Source organism: Homo sapiens, chromosome 12 (assembly GCF_000001405.40).
Source record: "Homo sapiens chromosome 12, GRCh38.p14 Primary Assembly".
Taxonomy (NCBI): Eukaryota; Metazoa; Chordata; class Mammalia; order Primates; family Hominidae; genus Homo; species Homo sapiens.
The window spans coordinates 123,944,839-123,971,479 of record NC_000012.12 but is presented as its reverse complement, the minus strand read 5'-3'; the positions used below and the strand labels follow the sequence as shown (position 1 = coordinate 123,971,479).

Genomic DNA, 26,641 nt, shown 5'->3' with positions numbered 1-26,641 from the left:
TGAAATTTATTTAAAGAGCATTGGTATTGATAAAACGACTTTTCTTTTTTTTTTTTTTTGCTCATCAAGAATTCCCATGCATTTTCTCGCTATTGCATTGTAAGGAAAAAGATGCTAACGTTTAAAGTGGCTTTTACCTCCAAAGATGTTTTGAAATGTATGTAATTCTTTTGGCTAACTGTTCATCTTATGTGAAATATGCTTGGAAGAAGGCTTTAAAACTCGTGATTATATATACGGGTATGCGTACATATCCATACACACCACTGAAAAATCTTAAAATAGTTTTGTTACTCCTCTGCGTATTATAATTACTCAGTAAATTTAGTTTAGGTACATTTAAGATCTAAAGTACAGGACAATTATTTGTGTGAGATTTTTACTGTGACACATTTTAAATACATCGGTCTAACAAATAGGGTTTTTTTGAAATTAGATATTTTTATTAACTCTTTAAAAAACGAATCATTCATCTTGGGTTTATAACTCTTTCATCTGCCATGTTGGATAAATTGCAAAATTGGATAAATTGATCTCAACTTATCCAATTATCTTTGGATAAATTGATCTCAACATAATTACCTAATTGGTAGGATGCCTTTGCAACGATACTAACGTTAATAAAATGTTGATGCTTTTAAAAAATACTTATGTTAAAAAAGCATTTTCTCGTATTTCTGGCAAGAAAAGTCATGGAACTTTTTTCCTTCTATCTGGAACAAGGTCAGCCATAAATAGTTTCTAATACATAGTGGGCACACATTTGGTAACTAAGATTAATTATATCTACTGAATTTACTGAATTCCATGTCCTTCAAGGGCAGTGACTAGGTGACTTTGTATCTTCACACACCAATGTTGCAGTAAATGTTTGAGTCAGATTGAAGTTTCATCCCGGCTAGGTAGGTGCTAACTTAATGACACCAGTTTCCACATCTTCAGCTTTGATGTTTCAACCTGCAGAAGGATTTGGGCACGGAAGTGGCTGTGTCCTAATTGTCTTCAAATATTTGAAGGTCTGTCATGCAGCAAGGGATTTCATTTATTTTGAGTAATTATTGAGTACAGAAAAACAGATTTCACTTCTATATGAAGGCAAAAGTTGTTTATGGTGAGAACTAGCGGTGGAAAGAAGGGGCTGCTCCTTCCCTAGGGGCTTTTGGGATCAGCTGGTTCCCCACTTGGCGTGAATGGCTATTAGGAGGTATCACAGAGGTATAGGAGGGTCTTTCTGAGAGGGACTCCTGGGTATTCCGATGGCAACTATATTCGAGGACTTCTGTACTTCCCTTTTAGCACTGTGGCTTTTGTTTTTTGTTTTCTTATGCTGGCTTCTAGAGTTGTGGACGTAGCAACATCCGCAGACACCTACATGAACCCTAGGAAGATTTTTTAGTAGATTAAAGACCCACCTGCTATCGAAGATGATTCTTAGTCGTGCTTTGCATTTGTATGGCACATTACAGGGAATAAAGCACTCTCGAATTCAATGTGTTTTAAAAGACTCTTTTTAATTATACATGATTTGTATTTCTTTCTTTAACTTTATTTTCTACAATAAACATTGAATCAAGAGGAAAATTACCCTTTTCTAGGAAGGCAAGCAGAAAAGACTTTTTTTAAAGCTGTTTTTAAAAAATGGGATGGTGCCAGTCATCCTTTGGAGAGCCAGCAAATTATGAAGGTGAATCGTTCTTTTACTTGGCTGAAAACATGTTTTAAAAGATACTGAATAAGGCCGGGGGCAGTGGCTCACTCCTGAGGCCGAGGCGGGCAGATCACGAGGTCAAGAGATCAAGACCATCCTGAGCAACATGGTGAAACCCCATCTCTACTAAAAATACAAAAATTAGCTGGTCGTGGTGGCGCAGTAGTCCCAGCTACTCGGGAGGCTGAGGCAGGAGAATCGCTTGAACCCAGGAGGCAGAGGTTGCAGTGAGCCCAGATCACGCCACTGCACTCCAGCCTGGCAACAGATGGAGACTCCGTCTCAAAAAAAAAAAAAAAAAAAAAAAAAACTGAATAAGAGATGATATAAGAGATGATTCTTGTGCTTGCTCCGCATTTTAGTTTGTTTATTTCATTACTCAAACATGACTCAAGTTTCACAGCAAAAAGTCCAGTCATATCCACCTACATTAAGTTGCATTGGATGTTTTTTCAGTATGTCTGCATGGTTTTTAAAATATGCTGGCAGCTGAAGGTAAAACAAAGCCAAGAAGTAGAATTACAGCAAGCCGAAAAGCTTAGGGGAATTGGAGCTTTGTGTTTGAAGAAGAAAGACATGTGCCCTATTTGTATGAAACCAATCTTGAGAATGATGGTTTTATCAGCAATGGGAATAAGGATTTATCTATTATAATAAAGATTCGGCTACTGAGTGTCAATCTAATACATGTATTAAGTGGGTCAATGAGGTGGGGACTCCAGTCTGTGGCTAAGAAGCAGAGCAGAGTTGCCTGTGAACACCAGAGTGCCCAATACACAAGGATTGAAGTGCAGCAAGTCAGTAATGAGGCCGATTGAGTTAAACCAAGATCTGACCTCTCCATTTTAGGAAGAAGAGGAAAAAACAATTCTGAATTAATGTTTGCATGGACTTAACTTTTTAAATGTCTTTTAAAGTAGTTACTCTCTCGTTCTCTAGCAGATGAGTTTGTTTCATGCTTTTAACTTTTTAAACGTCTTTTAAAATAGTTACTCTGTCTTGTTCTCTAGCAGATGAGTTTGTCTCATGCTTTTCACTTTTTAAATGTCTTTTAAAATAGTTACTCTCTCTCATTCTGTAGCAGATGAGTTTGTGTCATGCTTTTGTGTCTCTTACCCATTAGCTGACTTTGGGTGTGATAAGTGACTAAGACTCCTCAAACTTTGAACAAGGAATATACCATTTATTTATGCTGTATGCATGAAGGGAAAAGAGACGAATATCAAGTTTTTCTGGCCAACCAAGAAATAAAACTTTAAAAGTGTTTATTTTTTCAGGAAAAAAAATCACAGATACTACTTAAATATTATTACCAGGACAACAAATTAGCAAATAAGGCAAGTTAGAAAGCAGCATTTTCAAGGTTAAAGGTTGCACTTTAAAGCTTTAACCATGACTTCTGAAGGGATCACACAAACATCTTTAAAGACTTCTTTGTTAATCAGAAAACAGTTTACATGCAAATTTCCACACTGGAGAGCCGACCGAGATCAATACTTTCATGATTATTCCCAATTTACTGCTTTATCAGAAAGAACTTTACTACGAAGCAAGAAGTGTCTACTCTTCTGTGAAGGAGTAAGTTTTCTCCTTGTTTCTGAAATTCTTTATTCTAGCTGAATTCTCAAGACTGAGCAGTGAACTTCCATTGGTTAGCACCAAATAGAGCAAGCCTGAGTAAGCTGCTTATAAAAAGGGGAAAAAAACGACAGAAGAAAACTTTTAATAAATGGAATATGAGGCACATAATACTCTGCTTCTACAAATTTTCTTTTTGTTGCCTCTTTGGCAACACTTAAGATACTAAATTTAGGTCTGCATAAAATCCATTATCCTTTGCTCTTCAGATTTCCTCCCCAGTCCATTTCTAAATGCATCCTGTGCCCTTCTCATTTACTATGCAGGTAAGAGAGTTTATGAGAAGTCATTAAAGCCCATGTTCTTAGGTAACATTGTTTAAGCATTAAACACTACATGTAAATTGTCATTCTCAATATTATTACAATACTGTCTTTCTTAAAGTTGCACATTTTACCTAGAAATCCGTGGCATCATACTCTGAAAAGATCATCTTCGATATAATGCAGAGGACACGTAAAAACACTGGGTTCCCAAGAGAAAGTTCCATCTCTGTCATACATAGCATAATTATCTTAGGCTCTCCATATTTTTCTAATGATAAGTGAACGTAAGAGGTTAGGCTCGTGCCATACCTTAAACATTGAAGGAGGCTTTTTGTAACTCCTTTCTCTTCGGCTGTCACACACATCAACCCAGATGAAAGGCACTGCTAGTGTTTCTGCCTCGGTGGCTAGTAGCGTGGGAGAGCAGATACACTTTTTAAAAATAGCCAAATCTTGCACATTGATAAGAAAGATGGAGAAAGGTTGGAGTTTTTCGCTCAGTTTTGTGTTCCCATAGATAAGAACATAGCAGAAGTTATTAGGTTTGGCCTGTCATTTTCAAGGAAGGTCAGTATCTGATACTGAGTCATCTTTATCTTCTGGTTGAGTCCCTATGACAAGACCAGAACGTTCTAGTAGAATAGAGCAGCAGCTTTCTGGCATTAAGGTACTTGCTCATTGACATGCCCTATTGCTCTCGGGGGAGGAAGGATGTGTAATCCTCCTCAGCCTCTGCAATGTGATTTCAAGTGAGGAATTGCTTTCCATCAATAAAGCGGTCAAGTCAGTTTTTGACAAGTTTATTAGTACAGTAAGACTGTGGTATCAGGACCCAGTTCAGAGGTGAACAAAGCCAAACCATATTGTTTGAGGGCAAAGGCAGGTTTTTAGGGGAGAGACAAAATAAATATCCAAGTAGAAACAAAGCTAGACTTGAGACCTTGGAGATAGGTTGACAGCTGTCTATTTGGAGGTTCTTGTGTCTCATCCCTTTTTGCAGGATGGAACTCAGAGCTTTGGATGACGACTGGCTAATTCTAGAACACTGCACTGAATGTTACTCATTAGCAGGCTGTGGTTAGAGCAGAGTGCCTTTCCAAGTAGTCTCAGGATGCCAGCGGGACCTGCCTGTGCAGTGACCATCTTGAGTCTGAAATTTAAGTGGAAAGCAGCAAATTAGCCATTCCTGTGTTTAGAGGAAAACTGAGTTTAGTTAGAAGGTGTGAAGTCGTTGGGGCCAGCATGTTCCTACTGAAGAAACTGGGAATCCTCGGCAGGTTAGTAGCAAGCAGAACTTTAGAGTCCCTTGAAGGAAGGTTGAAGTGATGTTTGGACTGCTGAACTGCAGAGTGAACCTGGGAATGAGATGCACTGACACCCTCATCAGTGCTTTCCATCAGTGTGCAAGACTTAGCTATTTCTCAAAAGAACACAGCTTCCTCTCACATGGAATGTCCTACCATTGGGGATGTAACCAGAAGCCTCTGAAGCCTACTCAGTTTTTTAGGTGAAGATCCCAGATTTTTGTTTGTCACAACTCTCATGGTTACATTTATAGGTAGGGAATCCAGCCACTTCAGTCCAGTTTCTGAAAATTCCTGGCTAGGTTATTTTTCAGAGTTCCATTTGGACATTTTACCACCTCTTCTGATTGTGGACAAGACAGTGAAGGCATTGATGAATGTGTAGGGCTTTACAGCTTTATTTACAATCCAATCTGGAAATGATGGACTCCTGTTACAAATAGACACACTTAATGTACCAAATCTGGAAATAAAATATTTCAGAAGTCTTTTTGACAGTCATTGTGTTAGCCTTTGCATGCATCTTCTATACCCAGTGAAATTACTAAAGCATTCACATGAAAACCCATTTTTTCTCATTTGAATAAAACTAATGTGAATATGCTTATAAATGCCTGCCTCCCACCCTACAGCCCCATCCGTAGATAAGCTGCTCTCGTTGTCTTTATGGCTACTTCCCACAACATGAATGGACGGGTCAAACAACTCACACAGTGCTGATGAGCTACACTGGTAAATTTGGAGCATGCCACCCACATATGATTTTCCCTGGCATCCCTTCTTGTTGGTGTGTACCAGGCCATGGGACACTGGAGCAAGATGAAGGCACTTTGGAGCTACCAAGAGGCTCTCTGAAACCCTGACAGTCTTTAGAGTCCCTTCTACGATGTGGGGCCTGATCTAGGACAGGGACAGTGTGGGAAAGAGCCACCATAAGGGACTGTTCAGTCTGAGAAAGATGACTGACCATAGATAACCTTGACCGTGTTATTCACCAAAGGAAGTATATTTCCAAAACAGCCCAACATGGGTTACATGAGGGCCGTGAGAAATGTAAGCTCCTCCAAGAGCGTGCAGCCCTCACTGTTTTCACAATTGTCCATAGTCAAGACAGGAAAAAGTGAGAAAGAAAAGCAGGACTTCATACTCCAGTGAGAGCGATAAACTTTGACTTCTGGACAGAATATACAGAGGTCAAGATGAATCAAGATTCCTCTTTATTGAGAAGAGATTGCATCCCAAAGATCAATTTGCTTTTCTGTGAGTGGTTAGTCTTGTCTCCTCAGTTATACACAAGTGTTTATTGATAGACCTCACTATATCTCGATGCACACGTACAAGCACACACGTCATTCCAAACAGTATATTTAACTGGCAATATATTTAGCGATTTAAAATTGTAGTTTTCAAATGTTATCAAACATATCAGGTGTCCTAATACGTCAATTGATTTTACCATCATAATTTGAGCTTTAAGAACAAGTATTTAAAAAAAAGACCCAGTATTCAAAAAAAGACCCAGCAGCTCATCCGTGGGGATTGTCAGGTGACGAGATGTTTTTTCCATTTGAATTTTAATTTCTTTATCAGTTTTTAGGTAAATATAAATTATTAACTAATTGCCTCACTATTCTGCTGGTACAAAGGGAATTAGGAACTTTAGAAAACAAAATTTACATTAAAAAATAATGCAATTGTTATTTAAAATTGGCAGAAATGTGATATCTTGAAACATTATTCAGCTAATGGAAGTAGAGTGACTCTTGGTTGTCATAATATTGTCTGGAATTTTTAAAAAGCAATTTATAAAGATACTAGTTTCTTAAATTACAGCTCCCTGTAATTTGTATACTCAGGTTTAGATTCACCTACTCTGAAATCATGGTGGTAGGTAGTCATTGAGCTGTTCTGTAAGGCAAGTGTCAAGAATTTAGGAAGTTCCATTTAATTTAGCCTTTGTGAAAAAATTCTACTTTTTGTATGAATTGTGTGCCCCACCCCCACTCCCAAATATTAGCTCCACAAAGGCAGAATTTTTATCTCTTCTATTTGTTGGTGTGTTCTGAGTGTCCTCCACAGTGTCTGGCTCAAAGCTGCTTAAAGATGCTTCCTTTATGGAAAGAATGAACTGTAATAATTTATATCACCCCCCCATATAGAAGACATAACCTTCTCTTATACCCCCAAATTCACAAAAATAGATATGAAAGGATTTTCTTTAAAAGTACTAAGAACTTGAATAATTTATGTAGTCTTCTGTGTTATATTGGAATAGCCTCCTTGTTGTTAATACAGACACTTTTTTTAAAAAAAAGATAAATAACTTTTCAGTTTGTACCTGTTACGTTTAAACTTTATTTTTAAACTGCTTTTATAACCTGAGCAATTGTTTTTATTTTGGGAGAGACCTTTTCCAAGTAGAAAACCATTTTAAGATTTACCAGCGCAGCACTAATTACTTCAATTTCTGTAGTATATTTCTGCAAATTACAAAGTTCAAATTATGGCTCTTGTAAACAGGGTTTCCTGGTGACCATGGAACCTGTACTTTCATTTCTCCCGCCTGGAAAGCTTTCTTAAAGTGCTAGTATATATAAAATATTAGGAGTTTTGACATGATTTCATAAATTTATTGGGAGTCTAAAATTCTTGTAAAGTTTACGTATTTAGTGAAGTCCTTAAAAACAAAGCTCTTTGCATTGAAGAAATATTAAAGCCTTTAAACATCAAAGTTTCCTGGAGATTTCCTGCCTGCATTAGATAGAGTACTCCTGTGGAAACTGCACACCTAGCTCAGCTGCAATGTGTCCACTTAATTTCTGTGGAAATACGCAGCTTTATAACCATAACACTGGAGTCCCTATTGCATTCCAGATTTATCTTGCACTCACCCTCTTCACTTCTCAGGTCACTTTAGCGTTCATAGAAGAAAAGCAAAATCTCACATTATCAAGAAACAGGAAGAAAATTACTACATTCTTAGGCAATTTGGAGTTTATTTGCAATCCTTTTTCTTCCAAGCAAAAGAAAGCAAGGAAATGCTGATCCAGTGTTCCAGTCATTTTAGCTAAACAGGTTAAGTAGTCCCTTTCTGCACTCCTGCCTCGCTGAGCGTGTAAGATACAAGGAAGAAACTCACTCAGATAGGCTCCTATTGTCCCCTCACCTGCTGGTTGCCTTTTTCTCCAGAGTTAGCAGCTGTCTGGTACGGGAGGGATGCTGCATGTGGTGAGAGTTTGCCCTCCCAAAAGTGCCATACGCTGCGTTTACTAGCCATCCCAGAAACCCAGAGAGAGCAGGATAAACCTCAAGTCCAAAGAGGAGAAAAGGCCTGCCTTAAATTAGATTGACCCTAACCCTGGGGGTTTCTCAGCCAAAACTCTCTTGACCTTTGGGGCCAGATTGCCCTTGTTGTGGGGCTGTCCTGTGCGTTATGGTCTGTTTAGCAGCACCCCTGGCCCTGCCCACTAGATGCTGGTGGCACCCACCCACACGCTCATGACAGCCCAAAGCATCTCCAGACATCGCCAGATGCCCCCTGGGGGCACAGCTGTCCCAGCTGAGAACCACTGCTCCAACTTGATCAAACTCAAGATTCATCAGGAGAATGAGAACCCCGTGTTCTTTCATTAATTCCGACTGCTTACAGTTTGCCTCATATCAGAAAACTTACACGCTAATTCCATCTGTTCTTTAGATTTTTTAAAAAAAAACCTATATCTTGCATCAGCCATAAAACAATGACTGTAGATTCTCTGAGGGAAAAAAAAAACACCGTGTAGATGGTGTTCTCAGCAGGTGAGAGTCAGACTGCAGAAGCAGGCCAGCTCCTCTGTAAGACCCACATGAAGATTACTGTTGCCACTGCCAGATTATGTTATGTCTCACACAGAGTCGCCACCTTCCTCTCTCTACTCCCCATCCTGTTCCGCCTTCTGAATCGCAGCATCAATTGTTGACTTAAGCAGGCAAAAACTCAAACTACATTTGAATAAAGAATTTGTCAGTATCTGCATTTGTTTTAGTCTTCTGTATCAAGAGAGGAACCCCAAGCCCCTTATCCAGCTAACCAGAACACCTTAAAAGTGTTTGTCTTCAAAAAAGATATCACATGAAATTGTATTATTAATAAATTAGTAAATAAGGCAACCAATTTAAAAAGCAAACATTTAGAAGTTCAAAGCTGTATTTTAAAGGATTCAGCAACAATCTATAAAGCCCAGGTGTCTTAAAATACTTGTTTGGTAATAAAAACACAATTGTACATTTTTACATGTTTCCACACAGAATAGCAGAGTAAGCTTGTAGCTCTTTAAGAGAACTAGCTTTTTAACCCAGAATAGTATCTGTTTTTCTGCAGCTTTAGGAGAGAGGAAGCATTTTCTCTTATTCTGATTTTTTTTTTCCACAAGCAGCAGCATCAAGAATAAGCACTGGAATTATATTAGCATCTGGCACGAAAGAGTAGACCTGAGAAGCTTACAGCTTAAAATACGGGGAAAGAAAAGGGCAAAAGAGAATGTTTAGCAAATGGAATATTGGCCAAACGGTGTTCAGGCTGTGCGGGATATGCACTTTTATATTTTAGAGGGCTGCAGCATTTCGTCTTCTTTTAGGGACAGTATATTATCTAGTTGAGAGCATAGGCTTTGGAGTCAGACTGGTTTGGGATGACCCCACCTCTGCCACTTACTAGGTGTGACTTTAAGGAAGTCATTTAACCCTCCAAGCTTATTTGCCAACGTGTGAACTGAGGATAAGAATATCTGCTCCTTAGAGTGTTGATCAAGTACGTAGCATGGCGCCTGGCACTGAGCCCTCAGTAAAAGGTGATTCCATGTTGATTCTTCTCCTCTGAAGCTAAAGGCTGTGTCGCTACTGCAGTTTCTGTCTGCTTCACCCTGCATCGTCCCTGCCGGACTAAACTCCCTTAAGTGGCGATTTTGCCTCTATTGAGTAAAAACTTAGCTTTTCCCCATTGCTTATCTTTTCCATCTCGACTTTTCTGAGCAACTTTTAATATACAACTTAAATCTGACACTAGCTTTTCTATCTAACCTTATTTTCCACCATTCCCCAGAATCATCTTTCCATATCAGATAGTTTAATGGTCTCATGTTCCTTCTAAAACTTAATTCATATTTACTTCACCAGAAATGCTTCCTCCTGTCCCAACTCTGCCCATCCTTTGAGGCTCAGTTTAATTCCAACCTCTTCAGAGTAAAACCTTTTTCACTCCAGTCCTTATTCACTCATTTATTAGGTACCTCCATGTGTCTGGCAACAGATAGGTACCAGGAATGCTACAATAATTGAGGCCGGCCCCTGTCTTCCAGGATTTATGCAGCCTGATGCAGGAGAGACAGGTAGATAAGAGAAGAGCTGCCAGTGCTAGGATGGGCAGCCCTTCACCCTTCATGGACAGCCTTCCCCTGGCTCCTGTACTTGGCGGATGCCTCATGAGGATTTAATTATACATTGTTTTCTTTGTACTTTAGTTGCTGAGTCTCATATCCCCAAGTAAATTGTAAGCATAGGACTGAGTACACAGTGAGCACTTTAGAAACATATGCTGGCTTGATCTTTCACCTCCAGATGCATATTTAAAAGGAGAATCGATTGCCTGGCCTATTGTAAAGGCCTTGTAAACTTTAAAAAGCAAATTAAAAAACAAAATCAATGATGACGTTAAGCTCTTGGGGATCCCCATAACGTCCTGGTGATTAGAGTGGCTAGGCGACTAGGCTTTGGAATTCATGGGACAGTGCACTTTTAAATTTGGCAGTTCTAAAATGAAAATAAAGAATTGTCCTTTGACTCTAATAAAGTTAGCTTAATGGAAAACTCACTGCATTGTCCTCGTTTTTCTCACTGTGTCACAGACCAAGAAAAGCGTCATCCAAGCTCATGACAGGTGTTCCCTGAATTTCTGAGCTGCTGAGTGCCACTGAGGAGCTCAGAAAGCATGATCTGAATCGTGAGCTTACATGCGACACGGCCACATCTCAGCTTCAATGCCATGTCACAGGCTCAGCATTGACAGTTCACATACTTGGCTCATAAGATAAATTTCCAGGTGTCAGTAAGCTGCACCAGAGAAGATACTGTATGTCACAAACTCCAGGAAGTCCTGAGCAAGCCCACATTTTCCTTTCCACAGAAATGAACATTTTTAGGTGGCTTGATAATTTTTTACTCTTTTTATTTGCGAGCTTTCCCATTACGGCAATCAGAGACATTTTTCCAAGCCCTCTGATGCTCACTAATACAAGATACAGCATAGTACCTAATGATGGGGTTGGGGAGGGTGCTGAGTGAGATCACCACTAATGTGCAACTCCTAGAAAGAAGCCTTTCTTAAAGGGCCAGCCCAGGTTTCCAGAAGCACCATTATTGTAGGTGGCTGGGAAATAGCAGGGAACAAGACAGAAAAGTCCTTGTTCTCCTGGAGTTTACATGCTAGTAAGGTAAGAAAGATAAATAAGCGACCTACCTTTAGATAGTGATAAATGCTACGAAGACATAAAATGGCATGATGATGATGGCAGTTGAAAAAAATTGTTAAATTATTCCAGCAGTACAAGGTGAGCACTGGCCACGGCAGGTCCCATGACAGTTTATCTGGGAGCAAATGAAACCTGTTTGGATGACTCTCCATATTGAAGCAATGATAGTAAACACATAGCTCTAGCCATGGTTCTAAATGCTTTAGATCTGTGCTGCCCAACATGGTAGACACTAGCCTCATGGGGACAGTACATTTTAATTCCAACAAAAAATGAAAAATTTCTCAGACACATGAGCCACATTTCAGGTGTTCAATAGCTACATGTGGCCGCAACAGCTACAGAAGAGTGTGGTCACATCTCTGAGCCTCAGTTCTTTAAAAACAGCATAATCATACCTATCTTGCTGATTGTTTCAAGAATTAAGTGATCATCTATAAGCCTGGCACCTAAGGCCGCATGCGGTGGCTCACACCTGTAATCCCAGCACTTTGAGAGGCCAAGGCGGGCAGATCAGTTGAGGTCAGGAGTTTGAAACCAGCCTGGCCAACATGGTGAAACCTTGTCTCTACTAAAAATACAAAAATGAGCCGGGCGTGGTGGTGCACACTGGTAGTCCCAGCTACTCAGGAGACTGAGGCAGGAGAATCGCTTAAACCCAGGAGGTCGAGGTTGCGATTGCACCACTGCACTCCAGCCTGGTCAACAAAGTGAGACTCCATCTCAAAAAAAAAAGCAAGCCTGGCAGTCAGACATTTGGTGTGGCTGCTTTATTGGACAACAGAGAATAGAATATTTACATCATCACAGAAAGTTCCATTGGACAGCATCTGTTCAGATAAACTCAATCTTCCCCCACATCCTAATGAGGTGTAGATACTGCTTTTCCATTTTGCAGATGAGGAAGTAAGGCACGGGAGTTACGTGTGACTTGCCCAAGGCTGCATCCTTAACGAAGGGCAGAACTGGAATGCAAACCGTGGAGGTCTGGATCCAGAGCCTGGGGGTTAATCCTACCCTGCTATGCCGCTATAGCTCGCGGATCCAGTACAGCTCATCTGTGTGATCCACTTTCAACCAGAGTGCAACCGAGGGAGAGAACATTACCTCTTCAGAAAATCTTGTCATTGAATGCTTTTAAAGTCAGCTAACATGAATTCTGACGAGAGGATCAGGAAAAATGTAGGCCTGTCATAGGCACAATTTCCCCCTCCTTGAAAAGGGCAGAGGAAACTACAAAGCACCAAAAAAATACCAAGTTTATGTATGATCTCAATAAGGCAGATTAAGCTCTCTACGCCTCAGTTCCCCTATCCTAGAGCGGTGTGAGGATGTAATGAGGCAAGGCCTGGAAAGCCTCAGCGGGACCTGCCACAGTCAGTGACGCCAGGGAGGTCAGCAGCAGCATTACCACTGCACTCAAGCGGCCACACTTGGGCCAAACGTTCCAGAATGCACAGGACACAGCAGAACAGACCACTTATGTGAGGAGGCAGCTCGTCCTTCTCTCCCAGAGCTGCCATGAGAGTCTGTGGTTCCAAACAGCCTGAGTTTGAAATTGGAGAGCACTTCAGGAAGGCACGAGGCAGAGGAGGTGGCAGCCTTTGGAAAGAATCTGCATTTGGCTCATGCATTTAGGATTTGCAAGTTTAGTTAAGTGTCTTCACTCATCTGAGCCTCCATTCTTTAAAAAATGGGTTTAATTGGCCGGGCGTGGTGGCTCATGCCTGTAATCCCAGCACTTTGGGAGGCCGAGGCAGGAGGATCACCTGAGGTCGGGAGTTTGAAACCAGCCTGACCAACATGGAGAAACCCCGTCTCTACTAAAAATACAAAATTAGCCGGGCATGGTATTGCATGCCTGTCATCCCTGCTACTCTGGAGGCTGAAGCAGGAGAATCGCTTGAACTCGAGAGGCAGAGGTTGTGGTGAGCTGAGATCACGCCGTTGCACTCCAGCCTGGGCAACAAGAGTGAAACTCTGTCTCTAAAATAAAATAAAATAAAAAATGAGTATAATCATACCTACCTTGCATGATTGTTTTCAGAATTAAGTAATAGGCCGAGAGTGGTGGTTCACATCTGTAATCCCAGCACTTTCAGAGGCCGAGGTGGGCAGATCACTTGAGGTCAGGAATTCGAGACCAGCCATGGCGAAACTCCGTGTCTACTAAAAATACAAAAATTAGCCAGGTGTGGTGGTGCATGCCTGTAATCCCAGCTACTCGGGGCTGAGGCACAAGAATCACTTGAACGTGGGAGGTGGAGGTTGCAGTGAGCCAAGATCACACCATTGCACTCCAGCCTGGGCGACAAAGCGAGACCCCCCCATCTCAAAAAAAAAAAAAAAAAAAAAAAAGAAGGAAAAAAAAAGAATTAAGTGATCATCCGTAAGCCTGGTGCATAGAAATTTGGTAAATAATGGTCATAATTACTATTTTGATTAATGATTTTCAGCTTCTCATTAACAAATGTCCTTGAGTATTTTCTTGCCCAGATGCCTTAGACCCAGGGAATGTGTTAGGACAGTTATCCTCAAACATGATTGCTGTTACCACCCTTTACAGTGCAGTGATCACACCCTTGAGAAGCCAGGCAGAACCAACTGAAAGGCATCGTGGGGCGTGCACATAGCAGCTGCTTGCAAAGATGGAAGCTGCCTCACACTCCCCCACAACCAGCAAGGGCAGTGGCTGCCAGGTATGACCTCAGGTGACCATCCTGTGCATTCTGAAAACTGGGAAGTCAAACTCTCCAGGCTCCTGACTGGCCAGTAGGCTTCACCAGAGCTGGATCAACCAGAAGAAGCTGAAACATCCAACCTAAGAATTTCGAACTTCAAATGGAAAATCTGGGCACTCTAAACCAAAATTGCTAAGTTCCAAAAATGTTGGATACATCGGGTGCTTATTTGTAAAAGTATCTAAATGAAAGTGGGCCCTTAAAGAGTGTGTCATGAACCAAGGATTATAATTAACCCCATTATGGGGGCACAAGGTCAAATATAAGAGGAAAAAACAAAGTCAGTTGTACAAATGGAAAAAGTGCAAATGAAAAATGATGACCTTTAACAAGGCAAGGACAGTAAGAATAAGAAAATACTGGATTGCCTCTCATTCTCTGAAAAATCCTAATGAATATCAGATGTAGTGATTTTCTACCTTCCCCAATTTATTTCACTCTCCTCCCACAGCTGATAAATAATCTATGAAATACAGTTGTCCTGCCCCTTATTTTACTTGTCATTATTTGTTTTCATTTATTTTGACTGGGTTAATGCACTAATGGCTCATTTATCTACGATGATCAAAATTTGGTTGCAAAGACAGCCCTAAAGTAACACCTATTTGCCTTCTACCGTTCTCTCACTGGTCTCTGGATGTTAGAATTGCTGGTGCATTTTAAACAACAGACATTCTTAATGGATAGCTGTTTTGTGGGAAGCTTTTCCCTTCCCCTGGAACTTAATGCGTGATTTCCCAGAGAGCTGAAACATACGATTCTGGGAATTCTCTTGTTCCCTGACATAATAAAGAGTGATTGTGAGTGGGAAGAACTTTATGGGGGTCAGTCATAAATGCCGTCAGTAAGCGTGCCTCACCTATTCTACGCAGCACAGGAAGTTTGCGGAGAGGACGCTTGAACTGAATAATCCACGCTGGAGCTCTCAGATCACTAGATGGAAAGTCAGAGGTCAAACACCCTTACATGGACGTGCTGAAGCCATCAAAAAACAAAACAGAAAAAAACCTCTAGGAAATGATCTAGGAAAATGGTAAATGCCCTCTTAAAAATATAAGTTTATCTTTTAAAAATATTGGTACTTAGGCTGTGTTATTCCAAATAAATAAATGTTCAATAACAACAAATATCTGATTATTGATCACCAGAAGGTATGTAAGTACTAAAATTAAATGCCTGGTCATGGTGACTTTATTTACTGAAGTGACTGTTGTTGGACTATTTTAATAATTTCAAAGATCTCTAATGTCCTCCCTGTCTCAACTCATTGGAAGGAATCAGTGTGGGCCCCTTTCATAGACGGGCAAGTTGGAAGAGTTGGCTTGCTTTTGCTTGATGCATAGCTAAATTCTTACACTGTCCAAGATGACATGGCTGGGACTGGGCAGAGCTCTTTCTACCACATCACAAGGATAACGTCTCTTTATAAGTGGCAGTCATCTTCTCTGATGCCTGTTATAGGTAATGAAACCATGGACTCTTTTACTTTTTGTAAGTAATAAAGGAAAAATATGGCTAAATTAAAGTGGATAGAGCCAGGTAAGGGGTCTGGCATTTATAATCCCAGCTACATAGGAGGCTGAAGCAGGAGGATCACTTGAGGCCAGGAGTTTGAGTCAAGCCTGGGCAACATAGAGAAACCCTGTCTCCCCCCCACCAAAAAAAAAGGTGTATAGAGCTTCAATTACTAAATACCTTTCTTTCCTTAAAACCTGTACTATAATTAGGCAGACCCACAAATGGATAAAAGAAGGCCTATCAGTTAAGTCAGGTGAATTGGTCCATCTGTTTGGCAAACCATAGAGACTGAGATTTTTAAAGCAAGGGAACACATCTCCTTGGCCTAGGACCTTGGTTTAGATTGTGGTCATCAAGCGCTAAGATTAAGTATTTCCTATTTCATTAGGATGAATGATGATTTGGCATTTGGGATCACTGTATCTTTTAGTTATCAACTAGTAGACAATTAAAATTGGCAGTAATCTCAATCTGAGGTGGAAATGGAAAGACCAGTTGGATATGAACTGCTTACTTCCCCTTCCATTAAAGGAAAGTATCACTAGCTAGAACTGTTTGTGTAGTAACTTAGGAGATATTTGTGTCCTTAAATTGTTGGCTCAGGATCATCTTGGTAAATGACAAGCTTGTTAGAAGTGTACCAGTGACATTTCTACTAAGTTGAAAATGATACTAGCTCTAGCTCTTGAAACAAGGCTATTTGGGTGATCCCCAGAGGGCAGTCATACTGGGGGCTGCTGAGAAAGGGCAGGAGGAGGATGCACGGAGGGCAGGAAGGGCCTGAGCAGCACCTCCATGGCCCCATCGGTCACCTCCTCCCCCAGAAGCAACTTCTCCCTGAGCCTGTGTCTTTGGAATAGAAAGTGCAGAGTTGACACTGTATGGGCATCGCCCCTCCAGCTCTGAGGGTCCGGAGATGGAATGCTGGTGCTCCCTCCTCCTGGGGTGGGGTCTGCCGCCCGCTGGCCTCCTGGCGGTTAGGAACCCAAACTTCCATGAGGCCCAGGACACTCCCAGAAGGCACCACACGACACAGATGGTAGGAGCACATGTATTTGCCTATCTTGGCCTGCACAGGCCAGTTAAAAGACACCCGTGGGCAACCGGAAATATAGACTTGCTTTCTTCATGAGGCATTTTCACACAGAAAAGCCAAGCCCTCATCAGTGTACAGACCCGTGACATGGTTTTTAAATAGAAGCCAAATAGAAACTCTTAAAGTATGAGATAATCGGAGTGCAGAGAAACCCAGTTAATAAGTCCATCATGTAGGCCTCCAGTGACTGCAGCCTTCCCAGACAGGCTGCGTACCCTCTTTCCATGTGTAATTGTCAGGCTCTCTAATCACATCCATTACGACTTTAATGTTAGGCTGCACGTTCTTTCAGAAGGAAATGGCTGTCAATGTCTAAAGAATTGTCGATGAGCCTTAATAAAATAAAATACATATGAAGGATAATGTCAGAGAATGACAGGAATGTATAATGCATGGTGGGAGGCACCTAAGTTCTCATCATTGTCATTTTCTGCATATCTTTGGGACACGAAATTGTTACATTTGTAACAACTACCTTCCCATTAATTATTCTTGGTGATGGTAAACCAATCACAATTTTAGCAATCCAAGATTACCCTGGAACAATATTATTAAAACATATGATACTACTTTGTTAGTGGATATTTAGTGATTATCTTTTTTAAGAGAAAACTTTATTTTTTCTGACTATATGTTCATCATTAAAGAAGCTTTAGATAGTACTAAAATAGAACTTTTAAAAGGTAAAAATCACCGAGTCCACCATCTAGAGACAAATGTTTATTTGTTTGTTTGTTTGTTTATTTGAGATGGAGTTTCCCTCTTGTTGCCCAGGCTGGAGTGCAGTGGCGAGATCTCGGCTCACTGCAACCTCCGCCTCCTGGGTTCAAGCGATTCTCTTGCCTCAGTCACCCTAGTAGCTGGGATTACAGGCGGATGCCACGACACCTGGCTAATTTTTGTTTTTGTTTTTGTTTTTGTTTTTGAGACGGAGTCTTGCTCTGTCGCCCAGGCCGGAGTGCAGTGGCATGATCTCAGCTCACTGCAACCTCCTCCTCTCAGGTTCAAGCAAGTCTCCTGCCTCAGCCTCCCGAGTAGCTAGGACCGCAGGCGTGTGCCACCACGCCCAGCTAATTTTTTGTATTTTTAGTATAGACAGAGTTTCACCATGTTAGCCAGGATGGTTTCCATCTCCTGACCTCGTGATCTACCAGCCTTGGCCTCCCAAAGTGCTGGGATTACAGGCATGAGCCACTGTGCCTGGCTGAGACAAATGTTTTAACACTTTGGTGTATATCCTTCTACACATATCAAAAATGTGATAATATACATACAATTTTTAACATACTGTTTACAAACTTAACCTATCATAGACATATTACCTTGTCGGTAAATATAGATCTACACTATTTTAAATTATTGCATACTTTAGATGTGCCATGCTAGCCCCTTGACAGACGTTGAGATTATTTTGTGTGGTGATTATCTTGCAAAAAATGACTTTTTTTTTTTTTTTTGGTTGCTACTGGAGTTTTCTTTCCTCTTCTAGCTTTTAGAGATGTGCCTATTAAAAGATGTCTGCTGCTTAGCCAGGAATAGGGGAACCCACAAAACATCCCCATCCAAAGTTTCCGCATTTGGATGAGTCCAAATTTAGTTCAGTTACCACTTTATCACAATAAGCCAGACACACTGCAAAATGTTTTATACAAAAAATCTCATTTTACCCTCCCAGTCACTGTATCATGTAGGTTTGATTATTTCTCATGTTGTAGAAGAGAAAGGTGAGGACTCAGAGAGGTTGCAACTCGGATATGGCAGGGTCAGAATTGGAACCCACGATTCTGACTCTTGTGCTAAGCTCTCAACCTCACCTGTTTTTGCTAGATTAAAAAAGCCTAATTCTTTAAGAATGACTAACCAACAAGATGTTTTATCTTTTTAAAACATAATTGCACCTTTGCCTTCTACTTTTTGCTTCCACTTTGTAATCGTGTTTACTCTTTTTACCAAAATATTCCTGGAGTCATTGTTGAGTACTTACCTTTCCTTGAAATGTTGTCCGTTTTTATTGCTACTTTAACTTTTAGAGATTTTCAGCTCACTTACTAATTGAATTTCTTAGATACATGTACAAGTAGGAATAATAGGGTCCTACCATGCAAAACTATTTATCCAGTTCATTGTGAATTCAGAGTAACATCAGTATTCATTTTCAGAGATGGTGAGTGTCCTTTCTTAAAAGCAGGTATTTGGAATTGAGAGTTGATGGCCTAATTAGCCATGGACCATTTTTTAGCCTCGTGAAGTACTATAGATGGTTTCAAAGGGAGAAGCAGGCTTTCCTGTCCCTCAGGGCTCCTTGCTCTGCCTGCCTCTCTAGTTGCCTCCCCCAGTGGCTCTTCTCCAGTGAAAATGGAGGATAGAGGTCCCAGAAAATGCTTCTATTTGCTTTTATCCTTCCCTCTTTGGAAGTAATTGGAATTTCTTTGCTAGCTCATTTCCGTACTTAGATAATATTCAGGAAATGCCCTAGTTGGCTAAGTAAATAATCTTGAGGTATATTTATAGAAGTATTGACCAATGTTTACATAAAAATAATATAGCTAACATTCATTGAGCACTACTCTATGCCAGGCCCGTCCTGGTTGCTTTTAGCACTTAAAGCCACCCCATGAGTTAGACATCACAATGACTTAGGTGACAAGATAGGGTTCAGATACAGCCCCAAGTACGGTCTGATATCTCAAGAGTTTGTCCACTCCAGTCTCTTTTGTCCCATTGTGTTAAGCAGATCTTCTTTGGGCCTTAGTTTCTTAATCTTGAAACAAAGGGGTGTTGGATGCCTGATGTTGAAGATTTCTTCTACCCTCAATGTTTTCTGACTCCATGAATCTACTTAGAAAACCACCTCACTGCTAGGAATCATTTTATCCTCCTGTTACATTTAATCACTGCAATTGCTGCCTTTGTTCTCTGGCCAGCCTTCATTTTCTTGATGGCAACGCTTAAGCTATAGTACACCAGAGCGGTACAGAAAGTGCCCACAGAAAAGCCCCCAGAGGTCCTTGTGCACAAACGTGGAGACACTGTGCCCTGTTAAGGGCCAGGCAGTGCTGCCAGGTCAGGGCCTTTCAAAAGTGCACAGAGAGGGCAGCAGGGCTCCCGTTGTTCATGGTAGGAGAGAACCAAATGTGAATGGGTCATAACTTATTCATGACTAGAATCTAAAAGAGCTTGTTATAACTCATTCACAGCTACCACCTGAGTGCTAGTGTGCTATTTTTTTTAGATTCTAAAATTATTACCCTGTTTCCACAGGCTTTGTGTTCAACTAAAAGATAACGTTTGTTCTTGATTGCTCAGAAACAATCTCCCATTTTTAAATGGTGAGACCCTTTCCTACCGAAGATATTCCATTTCTTTTTGTCCAAGAAATTGGTCTCAGGAATACGTTGGAATATTGCTTCTGGAATATTGAGAAATGATGGGGTGAGGTCATGTTCAGATTCATGCTGCTGAGGTGCTTTTTGACGAACGCAGTGTAGTTCTGGTTTAGATCTCCACTCGGTGCCATTATGAAGCGGTAGGAAATGATCTGCAGCACGTATGTAATGCGTGAGTTCAGATGTGCAGGAAGAATGGAAGTTAATGAGGCGGGGGCAGGGGATGGTTTGCCATGGGAGTTCTAGACAGAGGGAACAAGGTGTGCAAAGGCCCCGTGTTGGAGGGGTCTGGGCCATGCCAGGGGCTAGAGGACCCGAGTGTTGACAAGCACACCAGCCCCGAGGGGACCCAGGGGGATGCCGCTGGGGAGGGCAGGCTGACCAAGCAGGGCCTCTGGAGCAGTGGGGCTTGGTCCCAAGAAAGTCAGAGAGATGCAAGGTGATCAGAAATGTGCTTGACCATGAAAACTTGTGCCAAGGAGGATGTGCACACAGGAGAGACACTAAAGGAAAAGGCATATTTTTAAAAGGGGGAAGATAAGTCTGGCCTTGGTTCCTCCCACGGGTAACATCAGAGCTGTTTTTGGCAGCCAAGTGCTGCTTTTTCCCAGGAATAGCCTATTGCTAACTTGGCCCCCAGAGGACTCCTATCAGCCTGGCCTTGCAGGGGAAGAGAGTGAGTCTGCCCCTGGCCCTGGGACCGAGCACCTGCTGGGATCCCAGGGACCAGGACGCACATGCTACATAGTGGAATACCTTGTGCTTTCTTCCTAAGCTAGTCTTGCTGCTTTGTTAAGGCCCCAGAAAGCCCCACCCTCACCCAGCTTCCTAGGAACCTTTGCTGGTATTACGAGCAAGAGTCATTAGTGAGTCTTTTTGCCGTATTGGGTGGTCGGCAGTGCCTTTACAGCTGTGTGATTTTCTAACGTGGACCCTCGAGAGCCAGTGGATCCAGCCTCCGTGCGAGCAGTGCTGTTCTGACGGCCTGGCCCTGTGCTCTGGACTCTGGAGGAACGCTGCTTTCCCTTCCGGGCCAAAAGGCTACTTCAGTGGGCTGTGTTTGCGTTTCCTCTGCAGTTTCAAAGTATTAGAGACTTGATGTGCACAACTTGGAAAACATCTGAATTTCTGCATGAAATTAAATCTGCCCCAGACGTCAGGATTGTCACCACATCACCTGCGGGCTAGGAGAAGCGGCAAGGCTTAGATGCATTTATTGGTTTATGTTCTCTCTTTTCATGGGATAGTGTCCTCTTTTCCCCAGAGGCGGGTTGCAAGAGCAAATGATGTAAGTAACGTGAAAGAACACTGTGCTCGGGCAAGTCAGGTGGTCCATGGATAGAATTATGTCGTCATGTTACATTAATGCCCTGAGAGGAAGGGATAGCACTTTGGAATGAAGATGGAATTCGGCTTGAGCTGTTGATAGGGCCCCTTGTCTTCACGCTGCTGGAGAGCATACTCGGCGAGGCCGGGCCTTCCTCAGACACGTTGACACTAGGAAATGACGGCAGTGCGCTTCCCCATCCAGGAAGCTGTCTTGCCACGTCTTCAGAGCCTATCTCTATAGGATTTGGAATGAAAAGCCTTTTTTGAGTATTAACTTTCTGAACAAGTAGAGTGAACAGTAAATTAATTTACCTAGTGGATTTGCCATAGGAAAAACTGTACGTGTGGCTTAACCTTTGAGCCCTGATCAAGGTAACCTATTCAGCAGGACTTTGACCCTCGAGGTACCCATTTGCATTGCTTCTGCTGGCGTTCTGTGGGGAGAAAAACTAGCAGAGCTGTGCAAAGTCACCTGGGTGGGGCTGGCCCTCTGGCAGCCGTGACCAGGCCCTGAAGTGATAGTCAGTTGGAGCCCCATTTTCTGCAGCTGTGGGCAGCATCTCCAAGGAGGGAAGAAGACCAATGTCCTGGCCTTGCCGCCTTTGGTTGAGCAAATACTGTAAGATTGCGGATGGCTCTCAGCAACGCTTAGGAACAAAATTGGATTTGCCTCAGGACGGACTGCTGCAGTACAAAGAGCACACAATTTGTAGCGTATGCCCTTTTGACACAGAAAGTGCAAGCGTTTTGCCAAACGGGCTGGATGAGCTGCCCTCCATTCCTGGCTGACACACAGCTAAGATGGGGTGAGTGCCCTTACTCAGCAGGCGGCGTTATTCATCTGCAGCAGACGCCCTGCCTTTCTCCTTTCATCTGCCACGCTGACCCTTTTAGGGATCTGTCTTGAATGCTCCTTCATGTTTCTAAAGCATCTCTGATACTGAATTAAGCCTCTTGGGACCAACTCCATTTCTCCCTCTGAATTATGTGCATCTCCCGGCTGGGTCTCCTCAGCCTAAACAGGATGCCTCGGTGGCTTCAGTCATGTCACAGTACTGGGAGCATGACATCATCACAATGATTACCTCTCTTCAGTAGTGAAGGATCGCAATGGAAAACACCACTGTCTTTTCAGCCGTGAAAACTCTTTTGCCCTCAGAAAGCCAGTGATATTGTTACTCTTTTGAGCTGATGAGAAAATAATTGAGTAATCTGGATGCCATTTGGAGATGTGTTTTGTTTCCCTGGCCCCAAGTGGACCTGCCTTATTCAGGAATATCCTAACAGCTGTAGAATGCCCTGCACAGATGGCGTCTCCATGTCAGGGCCTTTTCAGTCAGCACAGAGTGTGGAAGAAGGGGAGAGCGACAGTCAGTGAAATGCCCCAGGCCAGGAGACCCTTGTCCCCCACTGTGAGGGCTCCGAGTGGCTCACCAGCGCTCACTGTGGAGCTCTGCGCGTTACATGGTCACACTCTCCCTGCTCGCCTGCCGTTTCTTCTCCAGGCTGTCTGCCCATTATAATGGGACGCTTTAAGGACGCTTTTGTATTTCTGCAGTTAACAGAGTGGATTAATGACACACAGCGTTGTTATAATTCAAAGTTGCTGATTGACCAAGGCAGTTAGAGTATGAATACTTACTAAATCATATTTAAATTTGTTACAAATGAAATGTAATACCACACTATGATAGAGATGGCTGCTGATAACATTTGTACTCCATTCCCCTCTGCCCCCGTGGGAGAGCGTAGAAGAAAATACTGACATCTACATATAGGCACATCCCATTTTGTGCCATCATGGCGGGTGAGGTGGTCATCTCATTTCGGGATGTTTTAGTATATCCCGTTTTCTTTGAGCAAGGTGTGCCTGTAAAGGAAGTGTGTCCGGAATTGGTGGGTTCTTGGTCTCACTGACTTCAAGAATGAAGCCGCAGACCCTCGCCGTGAGTGTTACAGCTCTTAAGGTGGCGCATCTGGAGTTTGTTCCTTCTGATGTTCGGATGTGTTCGGAGTTTCTTCCTTCTGGTGGGTTCGCGGTCTCACTGGCTCAGGAGTGAAGCTGCAGACCTTCGCAGTGAGTGTTACAGCTCATAAAAGCAGCGTGGACACAAAGAGTGAGCAGTAGCAAGATTTATTGCAAAGAGCGAAAGAACAAAGCTTCCACAGTGTGGAAGGGGACCCGAGCGGGTTGCCACTGCTGGCTCGGGCAGCCTGCTTTTATTTTCTTATCTGGCCCCACCCACATCCTGCTAATTGGTAGAGCCCAGTGGCCTGTTTTGACAGGGTGCTGATTGGTGTGTTTACAATCCCTGAGCTAGACACAAAGGTTCACCACCTCCCCATCAGATTAGTTAGATACAGAGTATCCACACAAAGGTTCTCCAAGGCCCCACCAGAGTAGCTAGATACAGAGTGTCGATTGGTGCATTCACAAACCCTGAGCTAGACACAGGGTGCTGATTGGTGTGTTTACAAACCTTGAGCTAGATACAGAGTGCCAATTGGTGTATTTACAATCCCTGAGCTAGACATAAAGGTTCCCCACGTCCCCACCAGACTCAGGAGCCCGGCTGGCTTCACCCAGTGGATCCCACACCGGGGCTGCAGGTGGAGCTGCCTGCCAGTCCCGCGCCGTACGTTTGCACTCCTCAGCCCTTGGGTGGTCGATGGGATTGGGCACCATGGAGCAGGGAGCGGCACTGGTCGGGGAGGCTCGGGCAGCACAGGAGCCCATGGAGTGGGTGGGAGGCTCAGGCATGGCAGGCTGCAGGTCCCGAGCCCTGCCCTGCGGGAAGGCAGCTAAGGCCTGGTGAGAAATTGAGTGCAGCGCTGGTGGGCTGGCACTGCTAGGGGACCCAGTACACCCTCTGCAGCTGCTGGCCTGGGTGCTAAGCCCCTCATTGCCCGGGGCCGGCAGGGCTGGCAGGGCCGGCCCGCTGGCTGCTCTGAGTGCGGGGCCCGCCAAGCCCACGCCCACCCAGAACTCCAGCTGGCCTGCAAGCGCCGCCGCACGCAGCCCCGGTTCTGCTTGCGCCTCTCCCTCCACACCTCCCTGCAAGCTGAGGGAGCGGGCTCCGGCCTTGGCCAGCCCAGAAAGGGGCTCCCACAGTGCAGCGGTGGGCTGAAGGGCTCCTCAAGTGCCGCCAAAGTGGGAGCCCAGGCAGAGGAGGTGCTGAGAGCAAGCGAGGGCTGTGAGGACTGCCAGCAGGCTGTCACTTCTCAGAAGCACCTAAATAGGAAGCCCATGGAAACAAAAGCTTTTCAACCCTGAAGCCCTTACATTCCTCTGGCACCACAGCTGCACTCAACAGACTGGCACCAGGCCCATTCGTGGGCCTCCAGGGTGCCAGGCACTGTGCTAGGGCTTAGGGTGCAGCAGTGAACAATCTGGAGTCTGTGCGAGGAGGCGGGAAACAGACCCACACTTACAGACCCTCACAGAGACACAAAGACTAGAACTGGGGACAGGGTGGTAATGCACCCGAGTCTGGGGGCCAGGGCTTCCGGGAGGAAGTAAACTTGTACTGAGACCTAAAGGATAAGTAGACAGTGGAGACCCAGGAGAGGTGGGTGGGAGAGAGGCCTAAGAAGAGTGTTCTGGGCAGAGGAGGAGCCATGAGAGGGCACCAGGGTGGGAGAAGCACAGCCCAGCAGGGCACCCGGAGGAAAGCTCGTGCCACCTGGAGCCCTGGGGGTAGGAGAAGGGCCAGCGAGGGTGGCGGGGCCAGTTGCAGGGCCGGGCAGACCAGTCTGATTCTCAGAGCAGTGGGAACCATTGGAGGTTTTTAAGTAGTCTCAATTTAAAAACAAGATCACTCTGCTGCCACGTGGAGAGCAGAATGGAGCAGGTAGGAGAGGACAGAGGGAGGCTTTCTGGCAGGGATTTGGGTGAGGGTGAGGACGGCCTCAGCAGCGGAGACGGGGAGAGTTGAACGGATCTGAGAGCTGCTTTCAAAGCAGGATGCCAGCAAGATCATCATGGACTGGAAATGGATGGCGGGGGATGCCAGCGTCAAGGCCACCCCCAGGTTGTGCAGCTGGGGACAGTGCTTGTGAGGGGTAGGACACTAGGCCTAGGGCAGCTCTCCTGTCATCCAAGACCCACTAAATTCTGGATCACATTTAAATGGTTCTTTCTCTTTGACAGCAAGCCACTAACATATGGGCTCTGCTTCTTCCATCAGCCAACAGAATCCTGGATTTGAGTCTGTCCTTTGAAAGCATCTCTGCTAGAGTTCCCACTTCCAAACCCCTTTCAGCTCTTCGGGATTCAGCCTCCAGGTGAGGTGCTGGAATTGATGCCAGAGTGAACGACTCCGGATTGCTGAGTGGAAGGAAAACGTAGGCACCGCTACTGACAGCTCTCAGGCGCTCCTGGGATTTTCCTTCCTTTGACGCTGAGGCTGTTCCGCTTTCAAGCGTTCTGCTTTGTGAGGGAAGGGCAAGGTCAGAAGGTGCTCACCCTTTCCACAGCAAGCACGCGGCACACGTGTGCCACACGCTGAACCTGCCTTGGTTGTAGCTGGCTCCTTTGTTAAGGTCAGCGCCCCCCAAGACCACGTGCTGTGCAGACAGTGTTGGGATCTCGGGAACTGTGGGGTTCCACTTAGAAACTAGTGTCTGGCCCAGCAGCCTACACAGGAGAGTTTGCGGTTACAGCACAGAGACGGTTTCGGGGACAGAAACATCCTTTCTCACTCCTGCCGGAATGCTGCTCACGGCTCCACTGAGGAAAGCCCTGCTTGATGGAAACTCAACTCTGCCATCATCTGCAGCCCAGTGCGACGGCAGTCAAAGGCCAGGGAGAGCTATGCTTTGTTTTATAGAAACATGCCTAGAAATGGTCGCCTTAAGTTATTTAACCCACTCCCTATTGTCGGGTTTTGAGTTTGTTTCTAGTCTTTTCCAACTGCAAACTGCACTGTAGTGACCATTCTCACAGCTACCTCTTTTCACACAAAAGTAATAATTTCCCTTTGGTAGATTTCTAAAAATAAATTGCTAGTTCAGAGAGATGACCAATTCCAAGGCTTCTGATCAGCTCTGCCCAATCACTGCCCGTGGTGAGGTGCCCCCCGAGACTGTACTTGCCGTGTCCTGGGGCCACTGCCCTCTCCTGCCAGTTTTTGTCCCCAACTGAAAGGGC

The 26,641-nt window shown here is 43.8% G+C and overlaps 1 protein-coding gene across 16 annotated transcripts in view, besides 2 other annotated features; it reads left to right on the top strand.

The window, feature by feature from the left end:
• Positions 1-26,641, top strand: part of CCDC92 (coiled-coil domain containing 92) — a 37,206-nt gene that overhangs the window by 1,352 nt on the left and 9,213 nt on the right. For 3 of the 16 annotated variants that reach the window (NM_001304958.2, XM_024449194.2, NM_001304960.2), the window contains exon 2: positions 25,680-25,776. The exons of 7 other annotated variants lie outside the window; for them this stretch is intronic. The gene's annotated coding sequence lies outside the window, so the exon portion shown is untranslated. Of the gene's footprint in view, positions 1-60; positions 15,197-22,016; positions 25,777-26,641 lie in introns of those variants that run through there. 6 more of the 16 variants (XM_024449193.2, XM_024449196.2, XM_047429567.1 and 3 more) reach the window with 5 other exon arrangements.
• Positions 2,196-2,697: an enhancer, noted in NCBI's record as "NANOG hESC enhancer chr12:124453330-124453831 (GRCh37/hg19 assembly coordinates)". NCBI's record gives its function as "activates a minimal SCP1, AML or CMV promoter by ChIP-STARR-seq in primed H9 embryonic stem cells {active_cell/tissue: H9 hESC(primed)}" and the evidence as "EXISTENCE:reporter gene assay evidence [ECO:0000049][PMID:30033119]".
• Positions 16,601-17,102: an enhancer, noted in NCBI's record as "H3K4me1 hESC enhancer chr12:124438925-124439426 (GRCh37/hg19 assembly coordinates)". NCBI's record gives its function as "activates a minimal SCP1, AML or CMV promoter by ChIP-STARR-seq in naive H9 embryonic stem cells {active_cell/tissue: H9 hESC(naive)}" and the evidence as "EXISTENCE:reporter gene assay evidence [ECO:0000049][PMID:30033119]".